Genomic DNA, 19067 nt, shown 5'->3' on the forward strand with positions numbered 1-19067 from the left:
TCGAAGACTTTCCCTTCACTAAGATATTCAGAAATACTTTAGTGCAGGGCACGTCTGAATCCTTGAAATGCTCTGTGATTACTCTACTTCGAAGGTCAGAAATGACTGTGGGGGATGTTGCCCACTTAGATGGGCTCCCTGATTTGATTATGATGTGCCTTGATGTGTGTCTTCATCTTTCTTTTCATTAACATTTATTGAGGCCAGGCACAGCGGCTCATGCCTGTAATCCCAGCATTTTGAGAGGCCCAGGTGGCTGGATCACTTGAGATTAGGAGTTCGATATCAGCTTGGACAACATGGTGAAATCCCATCTCTACTAAAAATACAAAAATTAGCTGGGTGTGGTGGCGCATGCCTGTAATCCCAGCTACTCAGGGAAGCCTAGGCAGGAGAATCACTTGAACCCAGGAGGTGGAGGTTGCAGTGAGCCGAGATTGCACCGCTGCACTGCCTGGGTAACAGAGCAAGACTCTGTCGCAAAAATAAAATAAAATAAAATAAAAATAAATAAAGTTTATTGAGTTTCTTGGATCTATATGTTTATGTTCTTCAACAAATCTGGGGAAATTTCAGCCATATTTCTTCAAACTTTGTTCCTGTCCTCTCTTCTCTCTCATCTTGGAGACCACATTTACATTCAGAGTAGGCTGCACGAGGTTGTCCCACTGCTCACTGAAATTCTGTTGATCTTTTTCAGTCATTTTTTATCTGTGTGTTTCATTTTGAGTAGTTTCTATTGACATGTCCTCATTTGTAGTGTCTAATCTACTTTCAATCCCATCTAGTTTATTTTTCATCTCACATATTGTATTTTTCAACTCTAGAAGTTTGATTTGGGTCTTTTTGTTGTTGTTGTTGTTGTTGTTATTGTTGTTGAGATGGAGTCTCACTCTGTTGCCCAGGCTGGAGTGCAATGGTGTGATCTTAGCTCACCGCAACCTCCACATCCTGGGCTCAAGCGATTCTTCTGCCTCAGCCTCCCAAGTAGCTGGGATTACAGGTGCCTGCCACCACACCCAGCTAATTTTTGTATTTTAGTAGAGACAGGGTTTCACTATGTTGACCAGGCTGGTCCTGAACTCCTGACCTCAAGTGATCCACTCGCCTTGGCTTCCCAAAGTGCTGGGATTACAAGTGTGAGACACCTCACCCAGCCTATTTGGGTCTCTTTTATGTCATCATCTATGTCTTTTCTTAACACACTTATGGTTTCCTCTACTTTCTTAAACATATAGACTATAGTTATAAACCTGTTTTAATAACCATGACTGCTATAGTCATTCACCACATAATAACGTTTTGGCCAATGATGAGTTACATATATGACAGTAGTTCCATAAAATTTTAATAAAGCTGACAAATTTCTATTGCCTACTGACATCTTGATAATCCTGACTCTATGTAGGCCTGCATGTTTTTGTCTTAGTTTTTAACAAAAAAGTCTAAAAAGTAAATGGAATAAAAGTTAAGAAAAATTTTACATCTATTTTTATTTTGGGATGCTATTCAAATCACACACACACTTACCCAAAAAGAATCAGTGAGTGTGAGAGAGAATAAGAGAAGTACACTAAAAACATCAAAAGAGATGGAGATTGCACTAGAGGGATTAGGATAAAAAGGGAAGGAGGGAAGGAGAGAGAGAGGGAGAAATGTCAAAAGTTATTAAAACTTTTCAAAATAAGTATTAATGTAAGAATGGTAGAAAAGATAATATGTTTTTCTCTTCATTTTGTGCCTTTCAAATTTTTTTTTTTTTGAGACAGAGTCTTGGTCTTGTCCCCCAGGCTAGAGTGCAATGGCGCGATCTCGGCTCACTGCAACCTCTGTCTCCTGGGTTCAAGTGATTCTCCTGGGTTCAAGTGATTCTCCTGCCTCTGGATCTCTGTAAGCTCTGGAGATTGCTCTACCTGCTCCTTCTGAGTGGCTCTTTTTCCTGCTTTTGGTAGTTTTCTCACACGCATGGGCTGATCACTGCCCAGCTGAAGAATCTCTGCAAGGCAGCCTTAATCTACTTACAGGGTTTTTTGGAAATATAAATGAGAGATCCAACTTATATTAAGTAAAAATAAAGTATTCATTGTCTCATAATACTGGAAAACTGAAGGATAAAACTCACTCAAGAGACTGGCTGCAGTAGCAAATGAGGTCATCTCTTTTGTGCTCACTGTTGCTCTTCCTCCATCTATCCCTTTTCTCTCTCTCCTGTTCTCTTTGCTGATGCTAAATGATTTCTTGCTGGAGATGGCTTCCTCCAAACAGAGGGAAAGGTGGCCTGAAGCAATGGTGGCTGCTATCATCATCCTTCTAGTCTTTCCCTAGGTCCAAGTATCAAATCTCGGAGAAATTTATTGGCCTGTTAGAGTCACATGTCCATTACTGAGCCAAGCATTGTGCATGGGAGGAGGTGTGTTCTGACAGGCAAGGCCTGGGTTAGCACTAGTTAAAACCTGTGAAATGAGCTCCTTGCAGGAGAGAGTAGTTTTATTACTAGAAGATGCTGAAGGAGGGAATTTGGGTCTACAAAACAGCAATGATCAATTCACCCAGTTTCCTCATCAGTAAAGTGGATAAAAAATTCTAAAATATGACCGGGTATTTATTAGGTACTTGGCTTATCATAAGTGCATGGTAAATGTGTTATTATTAAATCTGAGCATAGTACCTCCAGTTGTCAGTAACTGCATTCACTTCTCTGTATTGCTAATCCTCAGTAAAGAAGTTTCTCCTTTGTTTCTCTGTGCCAAGAGTTGCTTGAATTCCTACCATGGGCCTCAGTTTCCAGGTAACTGGGTTCCCGATCATTTGCCATTGCCATTTCTCAAATGCACCTGTTTCTGCCTTGCCTAAGCAGAGATCTTTTGTAAGCATCAAACCAGCAGCAGGAAACAAATGGTCCACTCAAATTGGGTAATTTGAGTAGAGTTTATTAAGGAGATTATTTATAAAGGTATTAGCAGGTTATAGGGAAATCACAAGGAGTAGTGCAGTACCCTGGGCTAGTAGAAGGCCTGATGGGACAAAGGACAGAATGATGTTGGTGCTGGAGAGAGAGGGTCACCTGACAGGAGCAGGGATATTCAGCCAGCCTGTAGTGGCCCAAGGAGAGGGAGCTGGTGAATAAATACCCTGGCCTTCTGCTCTCACTATTCTACCCTCTTTCTGATCTCCAATGCTCCCCATGGGGTGAATCCAATAAGAAGCTATAGTGCAAAAGAGCCTGTTTATACAGCCCAATAGGTCAGCCTCCTACTTGGGGCACAGAGAAGAGTGATGAAGGGAATAGGGTGGACTGGAAGAACAACTGGGAAACATCAAGCACGCCCTAGATCTTGGTCTTATTTTTTTCCCAAGATGAAATAACTTATTCCTGGTCATATTCACAAAACATGTGTCTGCTCTGGATTTTCCTGGTCTTGAGATAGGGAGCTCTGAATTTCTATAACCTGAAGTTGGGGAAGATTGCTAGCCATAGTCTGGTATTTAAGAAAGCAAAACACTGCTTGCAAATACCTGGACATTTGCAACCTGGTAACAGGAGGTTTTGTTCTTTAGTTGTATCCCATGATTGGATCTTAGATCAAGCCATTCCTTGAAGCGGACAGCTTTTCTGGTTGCCTGGGGAGAATGAGCACCAAAAAAAAAAAAAAAAAAAAAAAAAGAAGAGAGAGAGCTGTTACCTTACATGGAAAGAAGGTACTCATATGGAAGGAGGCTACGGGGGCGGGGGCTTCACAGATTCACCTTTCAGCATCTTTTACCAATATAAAATTCACCTCATTTTTCAAAGTGCTTACAGGGGAAGCCAAGGATGCAGGGCAGGGGAATAAAAATGGTAATAATAAAAGAGGGAGATGAGGTAAAAACAGGTTGTTAGGAAATATACAGACAGATAAAAGTGAAGACAAAGGGGAGGGTGAAGTAATAACAAAATCAAAGTGATGAGTACCAAAGATAAACGTGCAACTCGAAGCCAGAGGCAATCCCACCATTAGAGAGAAAAAGCAGGCCTTGGTCCAGTTTTTGCTGTGGAAGATGAACCAGGGGCCGAGCAGCTACCCATTATCACAGTTAGAGGACAATGCAGGCCTGGCCCAACTCTCTGCTCTTTATTTTGAATCCTACATTTTCCTTTCCGAAACACCTTGGAAGCCACTTAGCCAAGGTAAGAGGAAAAGAAAAAGGCAGCTATCTGGCAGGCCTGCCTGCACAGAGCAAGAGCTTTGCTGGGCCATTTGAGACAGGTAGGTGATTCAGACCGTATTGAAGGGAAGATCCCTGGGGTGGTTTGAGGATTTGGGATATGTTACCAAATATCTTGAAAGAAAAATCACAACCCAAGTGCCCCCTGGCTTAAGTGCATGTTTATTTTCACAGCCTTTGTCTTTCAGAGATCAGCACTCCATTGCTGTGTTGCTATTGTAAGGATGGAAAAAAATAGAACCATTTTAATGTTGTGCTGTTTGCATTTCCTGACAGTTAAGAAGCAGCCCCATTATTAGCTGGCAACACCGTTGTGACATTAGTGGTGACTTTGCTGCTTGGGATTCAGCTCATGAAATATCTTCCTTCCTGGTACAATTTTTTTTTTTCCTTTTTCTTTTCTTTCATCTCTCATGTTTAATTCTCATGCAAATGACTAGCTAAATGGCCATCTATGCTTTAGGTCTAACTGCTGGTCCAGGTTAAGAATGGGCTACCAAAGATGCTAACATATTAAGTTTGATGCAGTCTCAAAATACTAGAACCCATGGAGCCACCTCCTCATGGCTATCCCTGATGGGCAAGGGAGCTGTCTTTGTCAGGGATGGGTAGGTGGGGTGTCACAACTTAGGGGGCTCAGGGAGGTCCTGACACAGAGAAAGAAGGACTTTTGTGTTGGTGGAGGTGTCAGAGCATGATGGGGCACAAGGTCTTGGAGGTTGTAGGGGGTGAGAGGGTCCGATGCAGAGTGCTGGAGACCAGTGGGAGGAGGAACATTCCTGCCAGGGATAGGGACAGTGGAGGCAACAGGAGAGTGATTCGATGAATAAATAAATTGAAGACAATTGGAGCCAGCCTTCACATTATTTGGGAGAATAAATATACATATAGAAAGAGAGCCAGCTGGGCAGGGTGGCTCATGCCTGTAATCCAAACACTTTAGGAGGCCAAGGTGGGTGGATCACCTGAGGTCAGGAGTTCGAGACCAGCCTGGCCAAAATGGTGAAACCCCATCTTTACTAAAAATACAAAAATTAGCCAGGTGTGGTGGTGTGTGCTTGTAATCCCAGCTATGTGGGAGGCTGAGGCAGGAGAATCACTTGAACTTGGGAGGCAGAGGTTGTAATGAGCTGAGATCACACCACTGCACTCCAGCCTGGGCAACAGAGTGAGACTGTTTCTCAAAAAATAAAAAAAAAAAAAAAAGAGAGAAAACTACAACTCTGTGGCCTAGGAATGGAATTGTAGATATTAGTACAACCTCATGGCTTTTAATATATGGGTATATAGAAGTAAATACAGATGTAAAATGTACACATGTATATGCTTGTGTGTGTGTATGTGTATTTTGCATGTTGCAACATTTCTCTAAGTGCTGGATTGTTTCAAAATAAAAACAAGAAAAATAATATGAGAGCAATAGTACTATTTCAAATGGAGTATAGTACTAATAATGTTATAGTGCCAACAACATGGTGTTATTGAAGGATTAAATGAGATAATTCATGCAGTGGATATAATATAATGCCTGGCACCCAGTAAGCTCTCAATAACTATTATTATTATCCCATGGGAGAAAAGCTTACAATGAACACTATTCTACATCTTATTCTTTTCACTAAAAATATATCTTAGAAATATTTTCATAACTGTACATACTTTTTAAAATTAGTAAATCTTGCTAGTGTTCTTTACTATATTACTTTTATAATTAGAAAAATAAAAAACAATCATCGTCGGGGGATGATCTGCCTTAGTATGTCATCTGCTGATGACTCATAATTTAATTAATTCTTGTTGCTAATGGAAACCTCCCGGTGAATAAGGCTTAGTTGTATTTTAATAGCAGTACGTAGTGGAGAGAATAAGAAAAAAAAAAATCCAACACCTAATCTATGGAAAAATGGATATTCACACTAATTTTTCCTACTTTTGTAAAGCTCTGAATCAAAATCACTGAGTAATGAAAGCAGCTGTCAAACTTCATTGCTTCAGTCTGTGAACAAACCCCTACAGGTCTGCTGCGACCAGTCACTATTCAGTGTGCTCGGGAGACAGCTGTGAACAAAACAGGCTCTCCCCTCATGAAGCTCTCTCCTCCTAGTCGGGGGAGATGGATAAGAAACAAGTAAACGCCCAACTTTCTGTGCTTCCTCAGTTAATAACAAATTAACATTAGATCTGTCCCTTTCCTTCATAAAGAAATGCAATTTGGTAACTTTTTTTAAAGTTTGTGCCTTATTATTCATTTGACTTTTAGTAACCTTTTGAGCCTTGGTTCCCATATATCAAAAATGGAGATAATAATTATCTTATAAGGTTTTTGTAATCAAATATGTAAAATGCCTGGCATAAAGCCAGCCCCTTTGCAGATGCTTGATAAATAGAAGCCATTATTACATGTTAAATTGTACAATTTTTGGTTCTTGTTTTTAAGACTAAAAGAAGATTGTTTTGATTTACAGTTACAGTACCCTAGGTTGGGTGTGTCACTGATATATCCCTAAATCTTATCAACCAGTGCCTACACCTCTAGTCATGTTTCCTTTACTGCCCTGTCACAACCTCTCACCAACAGGAATGAGGAGCCTGTTCTTCTACTGGGTTCCCTTCTAGAAGGAATCTCAAGAAATCTGTTATGGTCTCTTGTCACCTACCCTGCAGCCCACACTTTGAGTGATCACTTTGCACTGACTATAATTGTGTTTTCCAGGCAGCTTTTTCCAGAGGCCAGGGCTCTCACTGAGTTCTCCAAAGCTCACCAAGCCCAGACTTGACCTTGCAAGCCATGCTAAGCATTTGGATCTTTATCCTGAGAATACTGGGAAACTGAAATGTTTAAGCAGGAGAACGACTTGACTTCATTTATATTGTAAAGGGGATTCTCAGGTTGCTGGTAAAGAATGGGATGGAAGATGAAAAGAGAAAGCCAGGAGAGGAAGAGGATCCTGTTGTCACCCAGGTGGAAAACAACAGAATCAGAATCAGGGTGGGAAACAGGAGAGGCAAACAAAGCACGAGCTTGAGCTTAAGGCTCTTTGGAGGCAGAATTGATAGTACTTGTTGATGGTTTCAGTGGAAGAATGGGAAGGAACGGGGAAGTTTTCAGTTTGAACATTTTGGTGAATTTATATGGCTCTGCCATTTACCAAAAATGAAAAGTAACATGATATTTAATAAAAACTTTACTAAGTGCCAATGGAATCAAGTTGAGTGCTTGACACTGCAGGGACCAGTGGGGGCTCTTCCGGCTTACAGCTGACCCTAAACAAACTTCAGGGTCCTGGCCCAGCCCCCGAAGGCCTCTCCATGGCCAGGAGCAGCTCACACTCCACACACAGGACTTCTAGGCATCCGCAAGCCTCAGTCCTGTGCCCAACCATCAGTCCCCTTGAAGCAAATAAGCTTCTCTCCTTCTCTATCCTGAGGCGTGTTCATCCCCTCCTCACACTCACCTAGGGAATGGTCTCATTACACTGCGCAGCTACAGTGATCAGCAAAACACCCCAAAGCGCATTCCCCTTTACCCAAGTCTGGGCTGTTAGTCCTAAAGGGCAGTAAGTAGAGGAGAGTTCAGCCTACAAACACCATTTTATGGCTAATAAAGTTATTTAATTCTTCAAGAGCACAATGTGGTTAAGAATGTCCATAATGGCTGGGCACGGTGGCTCACGCCTGTAATCCCAGCACTTTGGGAGGACGAGGCGGGCAGATCACGAGGTCAGGAGATCAAGACCATCCTGGCTAACACGGTGAAACCCCGTGTTATTTAGTCTTTACTAAGAATATAAAAAATTAGCCGGGCGTGGTGGTGGGCGCCTGTAGTCCCAGCTACTCTGGAGGCTGAGGCAGGAGAATGGCGTGAACAAGGGAGGCGGAGCCTCGGCTCTTGCAATGAGCCGAGATCGTACCGCTGCACTCCAGCCTGGGTGAAAGAGCGAGACTCCGTCTCAAAAAAAAAAAAAAAAAAAAAAAGTCCATAATTCCCAATATGAAGCAGAACACTCAACATCTTCCAGACTGCAGTGTCTGCACTCAGATGCATGGAAACTTCACCATCTTCTCCAGAAACAAGGGAGAGATACTTACCTCACATTTTAAAAAATAAAGGGACCATTCACTTGAATTAAAAAAATAAAAGCAACTTCCAAGACTCACTTGTTTTGGCAAACAAGCTAACAAACCATCTCCAGTGGGCGTCTTCCTAGGCATACTCGAGGAAGCCTTTCAATGGAATGAGCTTCTCCTTCCTGCTCTTACTCAAAGGCACTTGTCAGATCTGAAATGACACCAGATTTGCTTTCCAGAGCAGCTGTTACAAATGACTGGATTTAGAGCAAGGTATCTTTAAGACAGGGTCAGGAAAGGTGAACATTCCAAGGGGCATATTTCAGTGTGCAAGATTTTGTGTACCAGAAGGCCCTTGGTTCAATGCAAAGCCTAGTGAGGAGATTCCACACCATCCTAGTTCCCTTTGCCTTGTTTCCTTTGCCTCCCTGACTTTGACTCTGTGAGGTACCCATTTGTATCCTTCTCTGAGACTGGCATTCACCTTCCCTTTGCCAGCCTCTCTGGCAGCAGCACTCAGTAGTAATACTCATATCCTTTGCTCAGCCCTTTCTGTGTACTCATAGGCAGTGTGCTAAGTGCTTGATATGCATCATCTTATAACCCTATAATAATTCTGCGAGGCGGTGCTATCATTATACTCAGTTGACAAGTGAAAAACACCAAGTCGGAGAGACAAAGGTGTTTCCTTTCCCAGAGGTGACACATTTGATAAGGGTCAGAAGTCAGGTTTTCGTGACTTCCAAGCCCAAGCTCTTTCCACTCTGACTTCAGTCTTTTCTTGTTCCCTCTGGCTTGCACTTTCTCTTTTCAGCTCTGCATTCAGCTGACTTCCCCATAACAAATTGATCTTGCCCACTTCTCAGGTGCCCTGAGTGTTCCCTGGCAACCAGCTTGTCTTGAGGGCCTCATCTAACCATGTCATTGTGAAGTGCTCTCTGCTGCCCTGCCTGGCAACTTTTAACACCGGCCAGTTCCTTGTTCCATGCACATTTGCTAAGAGGAGCGTGGGTTTTTCACGTATTTCTCTCTCTCTCTTTTTTTTTTTTTTTTAAGACGGAGTCTTGCTCTGTCGCTCAGACTGGAGTGCAGTGGAGTGATCACTGCAACCTCCACTTCCCAGGTTCAAGCAATTCTCCTGCCTCAGCCTCCTGAGTAGCTGGGATTACAGGCACGCACCACCACATCTGGCTAGAGACAGGGTTTCAACATGTTGGTCAGCTGGTCTTGAACTCCTGACCTCGTGATCCGCCTGCCTTGGACTCCCAAAGTGCTGGGATTACAGGCCTCCCAAAGTGCTGGGATTACAGGAGTGAGTCACCGTGCCTGGCTTTTCATGTATCTCTATTTTCATTAACCAGATGCTTCTGTGTTAACATTTAAATTAAAATAAAAGCAATCAATTTTCAAGCTCAGGATCTAAGAATACATTTAAGGTCTCAAAAATGGATTGAAAAGAATGTAAATTTAACTTGTAATTGGATACATGGAAAGTTAATGGGAAGTAAAGATATTTCAAATTCAGAATCCTTTGAGGCTTTTCCTAGAGATGAGAAATTATGACTTTTAAAAAGACTTTGTGTGTTTTTAATGTATATTTGCTTATAAATATATTCGTTCATGAAACTTTGCCAGAGTGTCTCAGGAATGCCAGTCTAAAATGTAAATTTACTATTTTGAGAAGGTTATTACTTCTTCAGCTTATTAGAAATAAGCCAGTGTGAGATCAATAATTACCTTTTGGAATGCTGAATTATTTACTGTATTTGATTATTTTGTGTTGCAGGAATATAGCAGGTGTTTAGGTAGATGAATTAGAAAGAGTACCTAAATTGCTTTTACCAGTTACAGAGCAGAGTGGAGAGGAATGTTATTTGACTTAGGCTAACCTTGGAATTTTTCTTAAACACACAGTTGTTTGAGGCTTTACTCAATAAAATACTGTACTGGCACAATGAAATGGGTATCCCGTTTCCCTAAAGCTAATGACTTTCTAAAGCACTTGACTTTCCTACTGTAAGATTAGCACTATTATTTCCAGGCCAATCAATAGGCATAACTCCAAGATTAAAAGCAATTTGGATCATTATTCTCTTTTCATTACATATTCATTATTTTCTGTTTGAATAAGACCTGTAATCAGTGTTATTTACCAATCTTTATGGCGAAATTTTAAACTACTGATTGTTTCAGTCTTTGCAGGTATTAAATGCCATTTCAAATATCCTTTCAATAATTTTGTAGTTGCTAATGAAGTCCATTTTCCCAGATTTTTCAGTCCACTGAAAGAACATTGAACCCCCAAGAGTCTTTAAAAGGTATTTGTTGTTTAATTGGTGGCAGCTGTTCCTTAGAAAGTTACCTAAGTATATAAAAGTGCTTTTTCTCCCCTCTTTAATAGCTTTTTATCACCCTTTAAGGGTTATCCTTGAAATACATGCAGACTACATATGATGGTCTCCTGAAATGCTTTGATATTGCAAATTTTAAATATTATAATTCTAACACATGCAAGAAATTATAGGACAGTACCCTTTAATTTTGGATTTAATTACTAAAGCTTTAATGAAATATATTCTCTTGGCTTTCTGGCTAGATTTTTTCAGGAAAAGTTATTAGTTTATTGTAGTTAATTCTAAAGCATGTACATTCTGAATTACTTGAATACAACAGTTTTTCTGCTTTGTCCTTGAATTCTTTCCAAAAATCATAAGGTATTGGATACACACAGTAATAGCAGATTTGCTTAAATGTCGCTATTAATCCAGTTTATAACCCCTAACATTTTGTACAAGGAATTTCAGAAAGAAACCCTTACATAGACATCTAATGTCCAGAATAACCAGAGCCAAACATAATGATTTTACAGTTGAAGGATAGCCAAGACGCACATTTTCTGAGTGTGGTTTTACTGGGAGTCTGTGTGCAGATGAAATATGGCTTTTAAGAACATAATCTTCATGGAAAAGGCTTTTCTTGTCATAGCACTGGGCTGACTTTCAAGCCAAGGTCAAAGTACTTTCTGCAGGTCTATTTTTAGGTTTCCCATTTCTCAACAGAAGGCTCCCAGTTTTGAGTTAGCGCAACGCAGACTGGACTGTGCCCTAGAAGGAACAGGAATGCTTCCTCTTTGTGGCTTCCCCTGCATCTACCTGCAGACTTCTTGCTTTGCACAGCTCCAGGGTGAATGGGCATTCTCCTGCGGGCTGCCTTCTGTGGTCATCTTGCCCCAGCAAATGCTGTAGTCTCTCGTAAGGCAAAGGGCTATGCAGGGTTACTTTCCTCTTGCTTCTTTTGGATTTTCTAAAAACGTGGCTACCTTACATTATTGCTATTAATCAAGAATTTTCCAGATCTTCAAACTGCAAACCCAAGGGGGGAAAAATGAGGTCAAAGTGATTTAATTTAGATTGAGGTGGAAGACACCAGGAAACGAGTATGTTAATCAAATATATCAAATGCTATTTCTTTGTCTTTGAAATTGAATACAGAGGACATAGAAGTCTGTAAATAAATTAATAAATTAATGCATGTATTTTGGTTTTATGTTATGGCTTTTCATCGAAAGCGACAGAAGAATGAGGATGAAGAAAACCCGGAAGAAAGACAAGCAATCAACCTTGATATAGGCGGAAAATATCTACTATAATAATTATGTATCACTTTCCCAAAAAGGAACACTAGATTGTTAAAAAGAGTAATCCCTGAATTTGTTATAAGTAGTGCTTTGATTTTATGAATATATGTTCTTAAAATATTTTCCTTTCCTTATTTTCTAGTGAGGAAAGATTTAAATATCCTATCCTGGATGCTGGAAACTGTTGCATCCTCTTCCCGCCAACCATTAACTTTTACTTCCTTGCATAACAGCCCCATCTTGTGGTTGTTTGTAAATTTTCCACTAAAGATATGTTGCATTTTCACAGTTACGGGCATAAGTGGAATCCTCCCTTTTACCTTTCCTAGTAGGCTGAATCAAATTAAGCAGGAAAGAAGAACGGGTATGCATGAATTCAATTTAAAAGGCCAAAAACTGGTGAGGGAAATACAGGGCAGGTATTCAACAAGGATTGTTTGCATTAATGTTAAGTGAAGGCACAGTTATATTAATAGGTAAAAGGTAATACAATGAGTTCCCTCCAATGAGAGCATCATTAGCTCCCTCTTTTTCTTTTTTTTTTTTTTTTTTTTGAGACAGAGTCTCGCTCTGTCACCCAGGCTGGAGTGCAGTGGCACAATCTGGGCTCACTGCAATCTCTGCCTCCTGGGTTCAAGTGATTCTGGTGCCTTAGCCTCCCTAGTAGCTGGGACTACAGGTGCACGCCTCCATGCCCAGCTGATTTTTGTATTTTTAGTAGAGACGGGGTTTCTCCATGTTGGCCAGGCTGGTCTCGAACTCCTGACTCAAATGATCCACCCACCTCGACCTCCCAAAGTGTTGGGATTACAGGTGTGAGCCACAGTGCCCGGCCTCCTCCCTCATTATCTTAATAAAGCTTCTGATCTGGCACCTGTCTGCTTCACTAGGCCAAGGAGGCTTACCAGAGCTCATACAGAGCGCTGCAATTCCAAACCCTTGTGCTGGGGAACACCCTTTGGTTTCACACGGCAGAAATACAATAGGAAATAGCTTCAGAAGAATGCGAAGGTAATGACTCAGGTAACCAGACAGCCAGAAGGACAGAGGAAATGGGTGATTCAGAAAGACCTGACACAGGGTTCTGAATGCCAGCAGGACTCTTTCTCCCTCCTGCGTCTCTGAGTGTTTTGCTCATTGTCTTTTTCCCCTCTGCTTCTTTTCTGGCTCTTTACAGTTTCCAGGCTCACATCTGGGCTCATGGCTCTCTAACTGGAGAGAAGGAGCCCTCCTTTCCCATAAAGTTTTGAAAAAAAGCTAGGGAAGAAGTCTGATTGGCTTGTTTTGGGCCACATGACCACCCTTTGATCAATTGCAATGGTCAAGGGAGCTAGGCTCAGCTTGGGTAAGTTGTCCACCACTGAAGGGAACCAATCACTGTGGAGGAGGATGTAGGGTCATGTGAAAAGATCAAGTTTTCACACAGAACACTTGTCTGGAGGGAGGGAGGGAGGGAAGGAGCCATTTGTTTAAAGAAGGAAGAGATGAATAAACCAACTTGGCTAATTGAAACAAACAGACTTCCTCCTTTCCTCTCCTGTCTATGCCTGGCACATCACTCAACAAATATTTGCTCGATAAATGAAAGATTTTCTAATTGAATAGAAGATCCTAGGGTAGGTGTAAATGGTAGTGGGGTGGGGATAGGGGTGTGTTTGCTATTTCCTGGAGCTGAAGAAACCACAAGGTTCCTTTCCTTCTAAAATTCTGGGTTTTTCCACTCCCTGGCTATGGCCGTATATGGTCTCCCCTCTTGCTTAGAGCTTACACCAAGAATGCTGGTTTTCATCTACTTGACTCAGTGAGCATCTTTTTTATCCTTTGGGTATCTTCTCCTCTGCGGTCCTGCCTTTAGTGTTTGCATGCTCACTCTCTGAGCCTCCCTGTACTCTCTGCCCGCATAGACCAGTACATGTAAGCCTTTTAAAAAAGAGTTTGATTGCTAATCACTCTGAGGAAAAGAGAAAATTTTAAGAACAGAATAAGCATGAGGAAGTTTCAAAGGTTCAATAATCTTTCTGAATTGTTTCTACCTTTTTTTTTTTTTTTTTTTTTTTTTGAGAGGGGGTCTCCAGTTGCCCAGGCTGGAGTACAGTGAAACGATCTCGGCTCGCTGCAACCTCTGCCTACCGGATTCAAGTGATTCTCCTGCCTCAGCTTCCCGAGTAGCTGCGATTACAGGCACGTGCCACCACACCTGGCTGATGTTTGTATTTTTAGTAGAGACGGGTTTTCACCACATTGGCCAGGCTGGTCTCAAACTCCTGACCTCAAGTGATCCACCCACCTCGGCCTGCCAAAGTGCTGGGATTACAGGTGTGAGCCACCGTGCCTAGCTGATATAATTTTAAAATTATGAATAACATTGTGATAAATTATCTTGTGATATTTAACCACATCTTTGATCCTTAAAAGAGATTCCTGGAAACAGAATTATTAAAGCATACAAATATTTTTATTATAAATTTATTTATTTCCCTCATTATACCAATTTTTAGAAAATACTAATACATAGAAGAAAATATAATTTATGAAGTCACTACAAGGAGATGGTAACTATTTTGTTGGATCATGTTTTTATGTGTACATATACTTTAAACAAAACAATAATTACAAAGACACTTTAATAATCTTTATTCACTTAAACTCAAAATAACTTATTACTAAAAATTTTAAGTGATGATCTCATACCCTACTATATGGAGAAATATTATAATAAAATTCATCAATGCCCCATTGTTGAATATTTAGATTGTTTCGAATTTAAGCTATTGTTATTATTATTTTTTTTTTTGAAATAGATTCTTGCTGTTGCCCAGGCCGGAGTGCAGTGGTGCAATCGTAGCTCCTGGCCTCAAGCAATCCTCCCATCTCAGTCTCCCGAGTAGCTAAAACCACAGGTATTGCCACCAAAACTGGCTAATTTTTTTAAAAAGTTTTATTTTTTGTGGAGATGGAGTCTCACTATGTTGCACAGGCTGGTCTCAAACTCCTGGCTTTAAGTGATCCTCTGACTTCGGCCTCCCAAAGTGCTGGCATTACAGGCATGAGCCATCACACCTGGCCAATAATTCTTTTTCATGAATTTTAATGCACATATCCAACGTGGACATGAGGATGCATTAAAGGGGCATTATAACTCTTACAGCTTTAGGCATATGGGCATCCATTTGTGCTCTTGCCTGGGCTTTACCAATGTTAGGGGTTGGCCTGGCTGCCAAGGCCCAGGTATTTAATTCTAGATGTGGAAAGGCTTGGGGAAGAGGGGATTAGTAAGATGAGAAGACAGCACATCATTTGTGACTTTTTCTCTCTTGCTCTGGTAAAATGTAAACAGAAGCAAAACCTCAGGTTGGGAAGCCAGCAGTGTAATTTGGCAACTCACTCGGAAGAGATGTGTTTGATGAGGAAGAGGTGAGATGATGGATACAGAGTTCCTGCGTGGCAACAGGCACTCAATAAATAGTTATTTTTCCTGAGAAGGAGAAGGGCGAGGCACCTTTACATATCTGGACAAAAACACCTTTAAGCAGCAGTAAAACCTAAAGGAAGAACAGCACACTAGCACATGCAGATGAAGGAAAGAAAGCTTTGTGCGGCTTGCTTGTGTGAACGACAAGCCCAGGGGTTTTGTTTTCTTGTGTTTACGTAGGAAAATCACAGACAGGGACTTCCCAAGAGACTGTTTCTCTTAGCCACTGTCTGCTCCTAACAGTTACAAGAACTGTTCTTCCTCCCACAGCTGTGGCAGAAGCCTGCTTCTGCAGGGTCTCTGATGGGGAAGAACTGAGCTGTTTAGGATTGAACTGCCCACCTACTGTTAAGTAATGTTCTGTCTGTAACACAGGATTTCCACTTAGGAAAATGTGCTGTACATTTGGCTGCAGCATTTACTACGCATCTGCTTTACAAGCCTGTTCTGCAGCTCCAAGGCCTAACTCCAAACTGGCAAATGGTCTCTGAAGACTGCCATCAGAAAGAGCCAGGCCAGAGTTGGGATGGGGCAGGGTTAGCAACTAGTCTACTAGGAGGTCTGGTGGAATCAATTAGGAAAGTTAAGCAGGGGAGCTCATCAGCGGCTGATTGCCTCTCCTAGAACAACCCCAGCTCGCAAATACTCTCCAGAATCATTCAGGGAGCAGTGGGTCTGTAGAACTGGCCCTGCTGCAGTATTAAGCTGGAAGGTAGTAAATTCTTCTTATGGGCTTCCTTGAATCTGAGCTAAAGCCACAATTTCCTTAATAGTTTTCCAATAGCACTCCATCTCTTATTAAAAAGTACAGTTAATCTGGACCTTCCCTCCCACTCCCCTGTAATGTCAGAAAAGAAATGTGTTTCTGAAAATAAATGCTTCTTTTGCTGCGTGGCTATATTTCTTCAGGACTGTGGTTAGCAAATTGCTGCTGCACAACATAAAACCAAGCAATGAAACATAAGACATATGCCTTCTATAATACACTACTGATTAATACAGCTATTCTCTATCAAAAATACAAAAAGAGCCCCACCCAAATAGAGATCATGCCAACTTCCACCACATCTTCTCCCTCCACCCCATAACAAAACACCCAAATCATTCAGTTTCCTAGGGAAATTTGGTTCTAAGCAACTCTTGAATCACAAATTACTTTTGAAAATGATGCTTATATTCCAAAAGAATCCTTAGATTCTATGGTGATAGATTATTTTGCAATGCCTAGCCATTCTGATATGTAGGAAGCAGAAAACTTGGTCCAGCAACAATAAAGAGAATAAAATTACCTGTATTCCTATCCCATAATACATCTTTTGAGCACAATTTAATTAATCTTCATTATGATCATTAGAGAAACTAACAGATTTAAAATTATAATTAAACAAAAACACACAATGTCAAATTTACCATCTTAACCATTTTAAAGTATACAGTTTAGTAGTGTTAAGTATATTCACATTCTTGTTAAACAGATCTCCAGAACTTTTTATCTTGCACAACTAAAACTCTATACCCATTAAACAACAACTTCCCACTCCCCCTTTCCCAGCTCTTGGCAGCCACCACTCTACTTTCTGTTTCTATGAATTTAACTACTTCAGATACCTCATATAAGTGGAATCATACAGTATTGATCTTTTTTTGTGACTGGCTTATTTCACCTAACATGATATCCTCAAGGTTCAACCATGTTACAGCATGTGACATAATTTCCTTCCTTTTTTAGGCTGAATAATAATCCACTGTATGTATATGCCACATTTTGTTTATCTATTCATCTGTTGTTGGATATCTAGATTGCTTCTATTTCCTAGCTATTGTGAATAGTGCTGCTGTGAACATGGATGTGCAAATATCTCTTTGAGACTCTAGTTATATACGGATGTGGTTTTGCTCTGTGTTCCCACCAAATCTCATCTTGAATTGTAATCTCCACGTGTCAGGGGAGGGGCCTGGCGGGAGGTGACTGAATCATGGGGCAGACTTCCCCCTTGCTGTTCTTGTGATAGTGAGCTCTCACAAGATTTGGTTGTTTGAAAGTGTGTGGCACTTACCCCTTTGCTCTCTGTCTCTCTCTCCTGCTCCACCATGGTAAGATGTGCCTGCTTCCCCTTCAACTTCCACCATGATTGTAAGTGTCCTGAGGCCTCCCAGCCATGCTTCCTGTACAGCCTGTGGAACTGTGAGTCAATTAAACCTCTTTTGTTCATAAATTACCCAGTCTCAGGTAGTTCTTTATAGTGGTATGAAAAAGGACTAACGCATATACCCAGAAGTGAAATTGCTGGGTCATATGGTAATTCTATTTTTAATTTTTTGGAGAACCACCACACTATTTTCCATGGCAGTAGCCCCATTTTGTAATGCCACCAACAGTGCACAAGGGCTCCAGTTTCTCCACATCCTCACTAACACTTGTTTAAAAAAAAAAAAACTAACAGATTTTTTTTTTAAATTACTTTTTCTTGATGTCAATTAAGAAAATATTTCTAAATTGTCCCATTTCATTAAGACTGTCTTTTAGTGCCCATTGTGTTTATTGAATACTTTATAGGGATCAAGTTGTCTCATAAAGGGCTCACCTTTCATAGAGGTTTATGGATGACTTATATTAGCAAAAAAAATTCTTGTGAATTAGATGATTTTTTTTTTTGAGACAGAATTTCGCTCATGTTGCCCAGGCTGGAGTGCAATGGTGCTATCTCAGCTCACTGCAACCTCCACCTCCTGGGTTCAAGCGATTCTCCTGCCTCAGCCTCCCAAGTGGCTGGGATTATAGACACCCGCCACCAAACCCAGCTAATTTTTGTATTTTTAGTAGAGACAGGGCTTCACCATGTTGACCAGGCTGGTTTTGAACTCCTGACCTCAAGTGATCTGCCTGCCTCGGCATCTAAAGTGCTGTATTACAGGTGTCAGCCACTGCACCCAGCCCTGGGTCTAGGTTTTGATCACCCTAGACCATCCCGTCTTCCTCTGGAATTTGAACTTGAGATTTGTTCAAGCAACCTTGATGATTGTTAATCCTTTTCTATAATCCTGGAGAGATACGGAGGATTTCTCAATAATTAAGTGTTGAGAGGGCCCTTTTCTGTCCCCACCCCACAAGCAGAATCAGGTGGTTAATGTTTCAGGCACAGGTCAAATCCTCAATTTTTCCCTCTGAACAAAAAAGAAAGCCAAGGAAGAATTGGTGACTTGATTTTGTAACTGCTCATTACAGGGCCATCTATGCTTTTTAGCATGCAGCATCTTAATAAGCCAAGATACTATAGCAGAGGGTCCATAACTAATCTACTGTAATAAATAAAAGGAATGGGAGTGGTACTAGCATATTCTATGGATATAATGTGCAGTTTGCAAAGTGTGACATTTTAAATAAACTTTATTCTTGAGGTATTTAAAAAAACATAAAGGCAGTAATGAAATATAGTGCACAACATTAGTTGACACAGCAATTCCTGCCTCTTAAGACCCTGTTAAATAACCAGAGCTTAAATCTTCATCTTGAAATATACAGCTCTTCTATGATTTTAAGTGAGTTGTAAAACTTTTATGGAGTGTGTCCTAACTTTATTTTAAAAATAGTCTCCACTTTTATAGCAAAGGTGACCCAGAGGTACCTTGTGAATAATAGAACAACATATTTAAGCCATAAATTTACCTTTCTGGGCAATACAG

General features: G+C 40.8%; 1 protein-coding gene across 1 annotated transcript in view; it reads left to right on the plus strand.

Moving 5' to 3' along the window:
• UPP2 (uridine phosphorylase 2) overlaps nt 1-19067 on the plus strand; it is a 140976-nt gene that overhangs the window by 3140 nt on the left and 118769 nt on the right. The window contains exon 2 of the mRNA NM_001135098.2: nt 17483-17568. Coding sequence (NP_001128570.1) covers nt 17483-17568 — 86 coding nt within the window. The remainder of the gene's footprint in view (nt 1-17482; nt 17569-19067) is intronic.

The sequence above is a fragment of the Homo sapiens genome, chromosome 2, assembly GCF_000001405.40.
Source record: "Homo sapiens chromosome 2, GRCh38.p14 Primary Assembly".
NCBI classification, from domain to species: Eukaryota; Metazoa; Chordata; class Mammalia; order Primates; family Hominidae; genus Homo; species Homo sapiens.